General features: G+C 50.8%; 1 long non-coding RNA gene across 5 annotated transcripts in view, besides 1 other annotated feature; it reads right to left on the minus strand.

Moving 5' to 3' along the window:
* Positions 1–13,517, minus strand: part of LINC00673 (long intergenic non-protein coding RNA 673) — a 189,483-nt gene that overhangs the window by 165,820 nt on the left and 10,146 nt on the right. The window lies entirely within an intron of this gene.
* Positions 2,809–3,103: a silencer, noted in NCBI's record as "tiled region #2461; K562 Repressive non-DNase unmatched - State 22:ReprW". NCBI's record gives its function as "represses a minimal TATA promoter and a strong SV40 promoter by Sharpr-MPRA in K562 cells {active_cell/tissue: K562}" and the evidence as "EXISTENCE:reporter gene assay evidence [ECO:0000049][PMID:27701403]".

A 13,517-nucleotide genomic window follows, 5' to 3' on the forward strand; every position in this document is an offset into this window, starting at 1 on the left:
ACAATGCGGGAGGCCCCAGCTAAGGGGCTCAGACCCCGAACAGTTAATAGGGAAGATAAGGGCCGTTTCCTTCAGGGAAGAAAAAGGTCCCACTGGCATCTGTCTTAGCCTAAGTGGGCTGTCTTCGTGAGCCTGATGTTGAAAACAAACCTCCAGGGTCATCATACATGAAAAATGAGGTGGGGAAAAAAGGAAAAGGAAAATCGCATCAGCCGGTGGTACAATGCCCAGGAGGAGGGGCTGGCGGGCGGCCAGAGTCAATACGGCCAGCTGGGGAGGGAGGCCGTGGGGCCTGAGCCGCCCGGGAGAGGGGAGAAGCAGCAGCGCACAGAGCCCCCTCCCCAGACCGGGAAGAACAGCCCCCTTAGACCACCACCCTCTGGGCTGGGAAATGAGGATGGATCTGCTGACTTCTCCAGGCTCTCCTGCAAATGCAACAAAATGCAACTTGGATGGTCTAGAAACTGGCAAGATGGCACACTTACAGGTAGCAGGGACCACACCACTAGGCTGTGGAAGGGAGTCCCCGGCTGCAGAGCTGATGCAGCCAAGCCAGGCAGAGGGTGACCTTGAGCCAAGTCATTTGACTCTGTAGGCCTCCCCTCTGCCACTGTGAAACAGGATCCCAACAGCGAACCCTGGCAGGTACAGAACACCTGCGAGACCACGGAACGTGGGGCCCAGAGCAGCCCTGCATGGTCACAGGCAACATTGCCTTGTGTGAGAGCACAGCCTGGAGCCAAGGGCTTGGGTTTGGGGCTGAGTGGCCCATTTAATAGCTGTGTGCTCTGTGACAGGTCATTTGCCCTCTCTCAGTTTCCTCATCTGTAAATTAGAGATAATAATAATGCCTACCTCTTAGGGTCCTTGCGAGGAATAAATGAGTGTTGTAGGGCCGGGCACCGTGGTTCACACCTATAATCCCAGCACTTTGGGAGGCCGAGGCGGGCTGATCACTTGAGATCAGGAGTTCAAGACCAGCCTGGCCAACACGGTAAAACATCGTCTCTACTAAAAACACAAAAACTAGCTGGGCGTGGTGGCGGGCGCCTGTAATCCCAGCTATTCGGGAGGCTGAGGCATGAGAATCACTTGAACCCAGGAGGCGGAGGTTGTAGTGAGCCCAGATTGCGCCACTGCACTCCAGCCTGGGTGACAGAGTGACAGAGTGAGACTCAATCTCAAAAAAAAAAAAAAAATGAGTGTCGTATGTGTGCGTGTGTGTCTGTACGTGAGCCGTGTGTTGGTGGGATAGTGCTTGGAACACAGAATGGGCTATTGTGTTAGCAATACTGTGATTAGCAAATACTACTATAAGTGCTTAGAGATGACTTTCAACTGTAGCCTAGGTCATAACAACCTCAATAACACAGAACCACTTTCTCAGAATATGCATCCAGCCTCTCTCCCATCAGAGGCAGCCTGAAGGGGCTAAACAGGCCCCTGGTTTGTCCTGTGTGATTCTGACCACACAGGTTCGGAGTTGGTCGGAGCTGAGCGGCCACACCTGGCAACCACATTGTCCGATGACTCCTGCTGGCAGGCTCACCCGGCACAGGGCCTCCTACACCACTCAGGGCACCGTCCTGCATGGAGAACCTCACCAAAGGTGGGGGTGCCACTCTTCCCTCGGGTGCCATGCCTGGCGCAGTCCTTATCAGTGTATATCATGTGACCAAGGAAAAATTCACCAAGGACTCCAGGCTTCGGCCAATGAGGGCAGCGTTTCTGCCAAAAAGAGACAAGTGGACCGGGCACAGTGGCTCACACCTGTAATCCCAGCACTTTGGGAGGCTGAGGCAGGTGGATCACCTGAGGTCAGGAGTTCAAGACCAGCCTGGCCAACATGGTGAAACCCCGTCTCTACTAAAAATACAAAAAAATCAGCCGGGCATGGTGGCGGGCACCTGTAATCCCAGCTACTCGGGAGGCTGAGGCAGGAGAATCACTTGAACCTGGGAGGTGGGGGTTGCAGTGAGCGGAGGTTGTGCCATTGCACTCCAGCCTGGGTGACAAGAGCAAAACTCCGTCTCAAAAAAAAAAAAAGAGAGAGAGAGACAAGTGGCAGGCACCGATGGGCACACTCCGCGTTCCAAGACCATCCCAGCACACACAGCACACATACACACACACACCTATAAGCCCTTCTGATAAAAAAGAAGTAAAAGTGAGTCCCTGGGTTTGGGGACACACATCCACAGGGGACAGCAGGGGCCAAGTGAAAATGTGGGGTGTTTTCAGAAGGTGGTCTCTGAGGGTCTCAGGAAGGAAGCACTCCAGCAGGAAGGTGTCTGCCTCCTCATGCAGCCTCCACTCACTTGCAGGGTCCATGGTGACCAGGGGAAGGGCTCCTGGGCACTGCACCTGTGAATGCCTTCGCCCATGGATACAGTGTGACCAGGGGAGGGGGTCCTGGGCACCATACCCCGTGAGTGCCTTCACCCCACATTTCATGGGGCCTGACTCAAGGCTCTTGGGGCTTCCCTGCCCCAGGGCCAGATCATCCAGGCAGCCTTAGCAGGAAGCAAAACCATAGCCCATCAGGAGCCCCCACATCAGAACAGTCCCCTCCATCATCCTCCCTCCCCACCCCCTGGACACTCCAGTGTGATCCTCTCTCGGGCCACCCTCAAGGAACAGGGCTGATAAGGAAGTGGCTCCTCTAAACCTTAAACCTGCCCCAGAAATGCACAGCAGCTGGATCAGCCACCCTGGAAACTTCCATCAGCCTCGGTTCCTTGGTCTTCTCAAGCCTCTTTTCGGGGCCCAGGTTCCCAGAATAGAGGCAGCAAATCTCCCAGAGTCCTCCTCAAATGCCTCCCATTGCCCTGACCTCCCTAAACAAAGGTGCTTTTTTCCCCAGCTCCTCGGGGTCACCACATTTTCGTCAGACCTGTGCTTGTTTTCTTTCTACTCAGCCCCATCTTGGCTTTGCCCCCCCGGGCACCACTGCACCCAGGAGACAAACCCTGTATTGTTTTCATAGACCTAATAAATGACATCGCTCCCCACCTCCTGCCACTAACTCACTAGCCCTCCCATCCCCCTAGGATCATCTAAAGTGTCCCTTGTGCTAAGCGGCTCCCTCTGCTATGAAAGAACAGGCGAGAGAGAAACCTGTCTGTCTGAAGGGGCCTCCCCCCTCCACATGTTATCAGGTGAAGATTCCACCCGGAGAGAGGCAGCATCATAGGTGGCCAATTTAAACAGTCCCAGCCTCTTCCTCTGGCTCAGGTCTAGAATTGAAGGGAACATACTAAGGTGGCGATTAACAGTGCTGATGATAAAACAGAAGGATGTTCAGTAAGTTTTTCAAAACACATCTTTCATCAAGAAGGTTTCTCCTCACCCCTTGAAAAAGTCAACGATGAAAGGGATAGAAAAGGGGGTAGCCATTTATGCCTAGGGTTCCATTATTGGAACGCTAAGCATGTAGGTGTTATTTATATCCTACTGCTCAAGGTCATCACCAAGGCCTGATTTTTGAAATTCAAAAAAATGGCAGCCTCAGGCATAAATGGGTTAAGCCAGGAAAGACTGAATTTTTCCCACTGGTCAAGTTGATGAGGTTCTTCAGATGTGCTCTGGGAGGGGATTGCTGGCGCACGAGGAAGGCTGATCACTCATAAGAAGGGCTTGCTCTGCCAAAGTATTTGGATGTGGGATGCAGATGCACCCGTGTGCAGGAGCAACAAGAAACGTGTGTCATCCTGTCCAGACGGGGACTGGTGGATTGCTCTGACCTTGCAGAGCTCATGAATCTGCAAACCAATTTCCCCAGAGCCTCTAGCTTTTGTCGGGGGTGAAATAAACCAGAAAGAGACAGCAGCCGCCAACCTCTGCACCGACCAACTGATCCAAGCCCAGACCTCGCCTTCAGCACTGCTGCTCATGAGCCACCCCTTGGGGCTGATGTTGGGGGGAAGCAGTCACCTCTGGGCCTCATGACTTCTGAACCCAACCTGACTCTGCCTGTCCCCTGCTGCCCTCGATGAGGTTGTAAGGGGCAACACACTCTCCAAGTTTTCACTGCCACCACTGCAAGAGTCCCATCCTCCTCCAGGCAAGGGCAAAGAGTCAGAATGACTTATAACCAGGGGGGTATTGAGCTGAGCCACAGGGAGGTGCAAATGAAGAACCAGGAGACAAGTCCACGTGCCTCCCCAAACCCTCATAAGGACACAGGCATGTACAGCCTACAGCATGTGGTTGTTTATTTACAGAGCCGGAGAGCACCTCAGAATACTCATCCCTGGTATTTTGCCTATGACATAAACAAAGGCACAGAGAAATAGAGAAACTTGCTCAACATCATCAGTCAGGTGCAGTGGCTCATGCCTATAATCCCAAGAGGCCGAGGTGGGAGGATCACTTGAGCCCACAAGTTTGAGGCCAGCCTGGGCAACAGAGAGAGATCCCATCTCTACAAAAAAATTAAAAATTAGTCAGGCATGGTGGTGCATGCCTGTGGTCCCAGCTACTCGGGAGGCTGACGTGGGAGGATCACTTGAGCCCAGAAGGTCGAGGCTGCAGTGAGTGGAGATCGTACCACTGCACTCCAGCCTGGGCAACAGAGTGAGACCCTGTCTCTAAAATAAATTAATTCTTATTAAATAAGTAAGTAATCATTGATCTGAGAAATAAGAGGCTATGACTGAGACTCAAATTCTCTGACCCTGGATCCAGTGCCCTCTCATCCTCCTCCTGTAGATCACCAATCTATTGCTGACGGGACTGAACCTCTATAGAATGCCATAAGTGGGTCCTGAACACTCACCTGTAGGAAATGAGGGTTCTCAGAATGGAAAGGTAAGGAAATGGCCAGCACACACCTGTAGAGGCAGCCACCTGCCAGGAGTGGCTGGGATTGGAGGGATTGTGGGGAGAACTGGCAGTGAGAACCCTCCCCATCCATCCCATCTGCTGTCGGCCCCATTGGGTGGACATCGTCTGCTCTAAGTGTCCATGGGGATTATTCTGGATCCCATGCTTGGCAGGGACCTCGACAGAGTCAGTCAATCCTTCTCTTGGTCCAGTCCAGGAGCCCACCCTCTAACTATCGGAGATGGGGCTGCTGCTGTTTCTCCAATAAGTCTAGTGTCACCACCACCCATCTCACGCTCCCATCCCCATTGCCCTCTGCTGCCTCCACCACACCAAGGCATCGAGACCTCTGGCTTCTCTCATTTGCTCTTCCCTGTCCCCCAAAACCTTCCAGCTTAACCCTCCTTTGTGCCATGTCACTGGTGCCTGTGGCTGCACGTAACTGGAATGGAACATGCCTTGTTTCCCACTCAGCCCCCTTTAAGCTACATCCTGAATTCCCCAAACCACTCTTCCTCGTACCTGTTCTGCTGCACCCAGGTGCCTGCACGGACAGGGAAGCATCTTTTCTCGGTAGTGCACTGTGCTTCAGAGACTGGGTCCCCCTTCCTCCTGCAGGTTGTCCATGTACAGAGCCCAGAATCTTCCCCTTTCTGCAAGAGGTCAAGTTTCACCAACATCTCTCCTCCACCACTCTATATTGTTTTAGGATGAATCTCATCACCCCCTCGGATGGTCCCGGTTCACACTCTATAGGCAGGGCCTTATTGGAAGGACCTCAAGTCCTCCAATGGGATAAGGTGGGCTCAGCCAGACTGGGGAAAGGCCCATATCCTCCTGCCCATAGAGGGAGTCCATGCCCCTGACAGCCCCCGCAGCTGTGCTCTGTGAACAAGAACTCTGAACTCAGCCGTAAAGCTGGCCTGGGAAGGCCCTTCTCGCCTGCCACAGCACAGACTCCCACCCTCCCTTCTCCAGGCCCCTTACACTTGGAACTGAAGTAGGCAGAGCTGGGCTGCACAGAGGTGGGACCCAGGGGGCCAGTCCCTCTCCAATCTCCTCCCCCAGCACACACACAGATCAATCCCCATGGCCCAACACTCCTCCAGGGAGAAAGAAAATGGGAGAAGGGTCAGGAATTGGCAGCTGGGAGCCGCATCAGGGTTCCTCTCCCCAGGGCACCAGCAGGGAAGGGTCCCCCTTGACCACAGCTCCAGCCAGGTTTCTAAATCTTGCTTGTTTGCCGAAGCAGCCAGGCACCTCCCTTCCAGCCCAGAGTGAAGGGCTATACAAACTCTGGCCTTTCTCTGCCATCTCCTCCCTGGAGGTGAGCACTGAGCCCTCCAAAGACACACAACCAGAAGGGACACAGGCCAGCGGGAGCACACACCATCCCTCACCGGAGCCTGAGTGCCAGAGCCCCAGCAGCGCCCGGGGGAAAGGCAGGGGTATGAGGACAAAACCCTAACCAGCTGCTGGAAGGCAAGGGCCTGGCAATGCCCTTCGTCTTGCTGTGACCTCCACCCTCAGCCCAGCCCACCCCCTTTAGCCACCCTGGGCCCCCCGACCTGGCCTCCAGCTTTGCGGCAGGCAGGACCTTTAGAATCAGACACCCCAGGGCTGGAACTTCAAGCATCCCACCTCTGGGAGACATTAGGTAAGTCACTTTCCCTCTCTGAGCCTTGCATTCCAGGTAAGATGAGACCATTTACCTCCTCAAAGACCTCATAGGATTAAGTGAGATGTTGACACACCTCACTGCACTGAGTGGCAAACATTCATCCCATCCCTCCTCCCACCAGTGGCCAACCACAGGGCATCTCTGGTTTACATGACCTACGGCAACTCGAGGCCATTCACAGTAAAGGCCACTCCAGATAGTGATGATGACACTCACTTGCAGAGGCAGGAGGGTCCCCGCACACCCCCCTCCAAAGGGGCACACACACAGATGACCAAATGCATCCCATGAGGCAGAGCCACCCAAAGTCCCTTAGACTAAAAATCGTCTAACACACACACACACTGTTGGAGCCCAGTCCGCGGAGTGGGTGAGTATTTCCCTGTCCAAATAGGTGGCAGAAAAAAATACCAGGGACTGACTTCTCTCTGGCAAACCAAGACAAACTTGCCATAGAGCATCTCAGTGGCCAGCAGAGGAGAGAGGAGGTCATTTGGGACCATTTACTCATGCGAGAGTCACTGCCCCATGCTAAGATTTCCCCTAAAAATAAAATGATAAGATAATAACTCATAATGCTCTCCCCAAATCAGTACCACACAGACCCCCCTCTTCTGTTTGCTCAGACCCCCGCTCTCCAGCACAAAGTCTTTATTGGTCTCCCTGCAGGGGTGAAAATAAAGGGGGTTTTGTTCTTCTCCTCCCCCTCCCCCCTCGAAGGGCTGAGTGAGTTTATCTGACACTGCAGCAGTCTTTGTAAACTGAGTGTCCCAGGATAAACGCTCCCTTAAGAGTCGCTTGGCCTGGGACAGAGGGACCCTCTCCAGAGGAGAATGGGGAGCTTGTTCCAATGGTCTTTTAATATGGGGGGCGGGGTGTCACCAAGGACAGGCCTCCAGCACACTCTCACAGAAGGGTCTCTGTCCTGAGGCTACAGTGGAGGGAATTCTTAAAGACACAGATGCTGAAAAGGGGGAAGGAATTTTTTTTTCCCCTAAGGGGAGGGGAGGGAGGTTAGGGCGGGAAGGAGAAGGGGGAGTGGCGAGGACTCCTCATTCCCCAGAACAATTCCAGTTACAACAAGGCGTCTCTATGCCTTAACAGCAAGTGAGTGACAAGTGGGTCAGCAGCCCCGCAGAGCGGAATTCTCCTCCCAGCCGGATCTCCCACCAACGTGTGCTTTGCAGCTCCCAAATCCAGGATGGGAGCCCACCAGCATGCAGGAAAGAATCTCACTTTTACCTAAGTGAAGGGCCTCTGCCACGGCGCCCTAAAAGATGGATCCTTTGAAGGCATTTTGAGTCCAGCTGTCCCCCTCTGGAAAGGGGCAAGCAGACTGCCCTAAAGCCCTTAAATAAATAAAATTATCTCAAACCTCAGGGAGAAAAAGGGTCAATTACTCCTCTAATTTATTTGGGTACAAGGTCACAACAAAATAGACATTCCCAGCTATAGCTATCACAAATGATGTTCTCTAAAGATTGCTCAGCAAGACTGTTTTCTATTTTGATTTCATTTATGTTGAATTGAGTTCTTCTCCAAGAAGTCGAGTTGTATTGCAGAAAGAACTGGAAGCCGTGTGTCCACTGAGAACAACCTGGCATCTCTCCTTACCTACCTTGCTCAAGGTCACCTGTGGAAAACGGCAAACAAAACAAAAAGACACCCTCCCTGCTCCAAGTAATCAAGAAATCATGTAGTTCTGAGATACACAGAGAGGAAACTGAGGCCCCAATACGCGGTGTAATGAGCCCAAAGCCATGAGGCAAATTAGGAGGCCAAGACTAGGTAAAAACCAGGACTCCTGGGGACAGAAAACCACCCACAGGGGATAGAAGTCTGCAATTCTCAGGACCACTCCAAGGAAAGACCAATACCATCTTCTGAAAGCTGCTTCTGCAATGCCATATGGTTAGGCTACTAAGCCAGAACCCATTGACCAGACACCACTGTCACCACAGCCACATCAAATGGCAGACCAGTGTGGGCCTTCAACCCACCGAGTCGCCGTGTATATACAGTTGAGCCTTGAACAAGGTTTGAACTGTGTGGATCTACCGATACGTGGTTTTTCTTCTGCCTCTGCCACCCATGAGACGGCAAGACCAACCCCTCCTCTTCCTCCCTCCAAGCCTACTCACTGTGAAGATGACGATGGGGAAGACCTTTGTGATGATCCCCTTCCACTTAATGAATAGTAAATCTATTTCCTCTTCTTTATGATTTTCTTAATATTGTTTTCTCTAGCTCACTTTATTGTAAGAGGATAGTATATAATACATATCTACTGTATCAATATATAATACATATAACTTACCAAATATGTGTTAATCGACTATGTTATTGGTAAGACTACTAGTCAACGGGAGGCTATTAGCAGTTAAGTTTTAGGGAAGTCCAAAGTTACATGTGGATTTTCAGCTGCACGGAGGACCAGCATCCCTAACCCTTGCAATGTTCAAGGGTCCGCTGTATTAAGTCTTTACTAGAGTCAGCATGAGGCCAGGTGCTATGAAATCAGAGTGCACACCTATGACTATACGGAAGAAAAAAGATCCATGTATGTGGAACCATCATGGCAGTATATGATATTATAGCTGTCAGTATTATGGAAGTTTAAAGAAAAGAAAAATTGGATGAAAAACAAAAGTTTGCAAAAACAGACTTAGCACTCAACCCACTGATGAGTTTATTCAGGCATAACTTGGGCTAAGAGTGGACACGAATACTGGATTCTATGTCAGCTGCAAGTCAGGTATCCCTAACCATGCATTGGGAGAATAAGGAAGGAAGAAGAGGAGGACACAGCCCAGAAGGAGTGGAGCACCCAGCAGGTCACAGGGAAAAACCAGTTGAGACCAGAGCCCATTCTGGACCCCAAGGAGGAAGCGCTGAGGAAGCACCTCCTTGCTGCCACTCCTCTCCTCTGCTCTGCCCCCACTCCACTCCTGTCTGTCCACTCAAGCTAACAGAGATTCCTGGGCTGGTTATTCATTAGATTTGCATTGCACAGTAGAGTATACGACAGCTTTCACATAAGTCATCTCAGTTAAGCCAATGGAAACCATAGCCCAAGTTCTATACTTCTGAGAAAAAAAGTTAAAAGGGAATTGGATCTTCCATAATTAAATCCAGCAACATCAAAGCAGAGATGCAACCACAGCCCACACAGATATAACCAAGGAGCCAGTCCATTTCTTTAAGATGGACATAAGATTTAAGCCAAGAAGGGAGGGAAATATGTGGAAGGAGGAATGAAAGATTCAGTGTACCTAGTCCAGTGAATGAGACATACAGCTCCCATCCTCCCATCCCCCCAACCTCAAGGCCACACAGAGGCTCCATTCTCTACCCTCCCAATCATGTCAATTAAGAGGTTCTTTGTGCAAAGGACAGAGTGCATGGCAGCTGATGCGCGTGCAGCTCAGATGGGGCAAGGCTTTCTCACAAGGCCCCCTACCCCATTGGAAGGTGATGTAGGTACAGCCCGGGGCAGCACTCCCGCTTTCCAAGCATAACATCCGAAGAGTGAGCCTACCAATAGGTCTGCTCTGAAAACTCAACTTTGAGCTCAAGGAATAAGGTATGCACAGCAATGTCCTGGTCAACTGAAAGTTACAGCCCTTGAACTCAACACTTCCAGTGAATGCCCTGATAATGGATCCGTCTGCTGTTCCGTTGTCCCACTGTGCAGCCAACCTCACACACCTTCTTCATCAAGGATGCTGGGACACCCCTTCCCCCTGCCCCTCAGAATCATCCCTCTAAACACCAACGATCACAGGTGGAAAATGTGATAGAATTTCAACTAAGCGTGCCCTGACTTCAGCATCCTTCATGGGATTTCAACAATAGGGGAATCCGTGATGCTGACGCATGCTTTGGACATGCACATCTCCTAAGCAAATACAGTCAGGACAGTACTGTGGGCAAACGTACTGGTTTTAAGGACGAACATCACTTCTAGCTCTCCAAACCAGATTTAACGTCTGCAGAGAGAAACCTGAGGACAGCAAGAGAGAAGAGGCAGAGCTGGAGGAAAAGCCCAGAACCTGGCAGCACTGAATGAGAGTTTCTCATCAGGGAAAACTGGTCAACCAACCTCTCAGCTGATCTTAGTATTAATGACCTTAACATTGACTTTACTGTCCCATCTGTAGGGAAGGGAGGAGTCTATTTCCAGCTACACTCCTGAAAGGATGTATGTCTCACCTCTATGAGCAGAGGGAAGGAGAAGCACTGTTTTAAAGCTGTCAGTGGGTTACTAGGAGGAAGAAGTGAAGGATGAATCATAGCGATAGAAGTATTATGAGGCCAGGCTCATGCCTATGACTCCAGCACTTTGGGAGGTGGAGGCTGGAGGATCGTTTGAGCCCAGGAGTTCACGAACCAGCCTGGGTAACACAGGGAGACCTTGTCTCTACAAAAAAATCAAAAAATTAGCCAGATGTGGTAGTGCATGCCTATAGTCCCAGCCACTCAGGAGGCTGAGAAAGGAGGATTGCTTGAGCCCCAGAGGTTGAAGCTGCAGTGAGCCACAATCAAGCCACTGTACTCCAGCCTGGGTGACAGAGTAAGACTCTGTCTCTAAATAAATATATAATGTGAAAACCATTTGATTTGTGACTTCTAGCACTTTCCAAGAGAAACAGGATCCAGCTTGCAGCTAAAGCCTGGATGGATGCAGTCACGTGTCCAGTTGGAAGCAGATCAAGTTCCAGCTCCACCTCAGACCAGCACGGTAACTTTGGACAACTGACATAAGCTCTGGGAGCCTCAGCATCCTTGTCTGTTAAATGGGGGCAACAGTAACTACACTTCCACAGGACATACGGCACCTTTAATACATGATACCTACCCCCTCTCCTCCCACTTCATCACCTATCAAAAAAGGCTATTCATACTCAAGCTTTAGGTAGAAAAAAATCTGTCGCCATGACAATAAGATTTTTTTCTGACAATGGCAAACGAGGACAGCTGGGAGCACCTGCCAGGGCCGCATGGCTTCCTTTCAAAGCTCACACAACCCATGAGCGTGAGTCACTGCTCCTCAAACAAAGCCTACCTGTGTAATGTGTGAACAAAGTAAGCAAAACAGAGTCTCCCACCTTGAGCTCAACAGCCTGGAGATCAAAGCTGTCTCTCGAACATGGAGCACCCAGAAGATCTGCTTCCAAGTTGGCACATGAATGTGTGAACACAATGGAGCCCTCTACATAAATCCACTTGTGTGGCTGCTTCTGGACGAGCTCTCTGTCTGGCCTCCCTGTATTCTCAGTCTTCCCCACTGGGCTGCCAAACACAGGAGCCTTGTGAGAAGTCTGCACAAATCCATTGCCTCTAGCTCACATCGTCAGGCTTTTCATACCAGGAGAAGAACAGAACTTGCCTCCCAAGGTAGACTGGGAGCAACACCATTGGCCTAGAGATGCTCAGAGCTAGGGAACGTGTTGCCCTTTCTTTGATGAAATCTCAGGCAGCAGGTGGCATTCTAGCATCCAGTGTTTATTCCAGTAACAACTCTTCGTGCAGGTCAATGAGAACCCAGTCATGGGTGATCAACTACAAGTTTGGATTTAGTGACCCAGGAGCCAAATCGCCAGCTCCCTGATGGAACAAGATGATGTCCCATGCAAAAACAGACTCTCGGGTTTAGAGATTCAAAGGAGGAAAGAACTTTTGAGGTCCCTTCATTTGTCAACTTTTGCTAAGCATTAATATGCCCCCCACACCCTCCTAGGATACCAGGTATACAGAGGTAAGCAAAACTAATTCCCCGCCCCCGCAAGCACACATTCTGGTTTATTATCCCAGGAGTCCAATTCATTCATCGTGAACAATTGGTGGTATTGCCCTGCATGTACCTGTGCTTCCTAAGGGCGCTAATTTCCATTTGCAGAATCTTGGTGGCTCTGGGGAACCTCACAACAGAGTCAGATGTGAAGCACATGACCAGGGGAGAGTCAATCAATGTGTCCCCCCGCACCCAAGCTACTGGCCAGAGGTGTGGGTCTAGGGGTGAGCATTACTGCACGGTCAGCTCTCAGGAAGGCCACCACAAAGCCATTCTCTCCCTCTAGATCTATAGAGTCAGGAGGCCTGCCCACATGAGAAAAGTAAACTTGAGAATGAAACTTTATACAGAAGGGGAGACAATGAAAAGAGAGAGAGAGACCGAGCCAACAAATCACCCCAAAAGCACAACCCCCACACTTCTTAGTTATGTGAACAACCAAAACATCCATTGTTTTAAGCTGGATACAGTTGGTTTCTCTGTAACCTCCAACTAAAAGTGACCAATAGGAATTGGGCCCACAGACAGAGGCCCAGGGACATGTGCAAAGTCATACAGACACTTGGCACTGGGGCAGGACAGGGGCCCAGTGATGGTCCTGGGCCAAGACCTGATTTTGAACTGTGGCTCCATCCTTCAAAGCTATGAGACCTTAAGGATATTCCTTCATGCCTCTAAGCCTCAAATGCTGGAGATCATAACATCCCAGGGCTCTGAGGATTAAGGGAAGTAAAAACTCTGGAAGCACGTTCTCGAGCCTGCCGCAGGGCTGCCTCTCTTTCTGGACATTGCCCCACTGACAGGCAGCAGGGGCTGGTTGGAAACTGATATGGTTTGGCTGTGTCCCCACCCAAATCTCATCTTGAATGGTAGCTCTCACAATTCCCACGTGTCATGGGAGGGACCAAGTGAAAGGTAATTGAATCATGGGGGCAGGTCTTTCCCATGCTGTTCTCATGATCGTGAATACATCTCAGAAGATCTGATGATTTTATAAACAGGAGTTCCCCTGCACAAGGTCTCTCTTCCCTGCCACCATGTAAGATGTGACTTGTTCCTCCTTGCCTTCCGCCATGATTGTGAGGCCTCCCCAGCCATGTGGGACTGTGAGTCAATTAAACCTCTTTTCTTTATAAATTACCCAGTCTCGGGTATGTCTTTATCAGCAGCATAAGAATGGACTAATACAGGGATCATCATATCTGTTGAATCCTTACA

This window comes from Homo sapiens, chromosome 17 (assembly GCF_000001405.40).
Source record: "Homo sapiens chromosome 17, GRCh38.p14 Primary Assembly".
Classification (NCBI taxonomy): domain Eukaryota; kingdom Metazoa; phylum Chordata; class Mammalia; order Primates; family Hominidae; genus Homo; species Homo sapiens.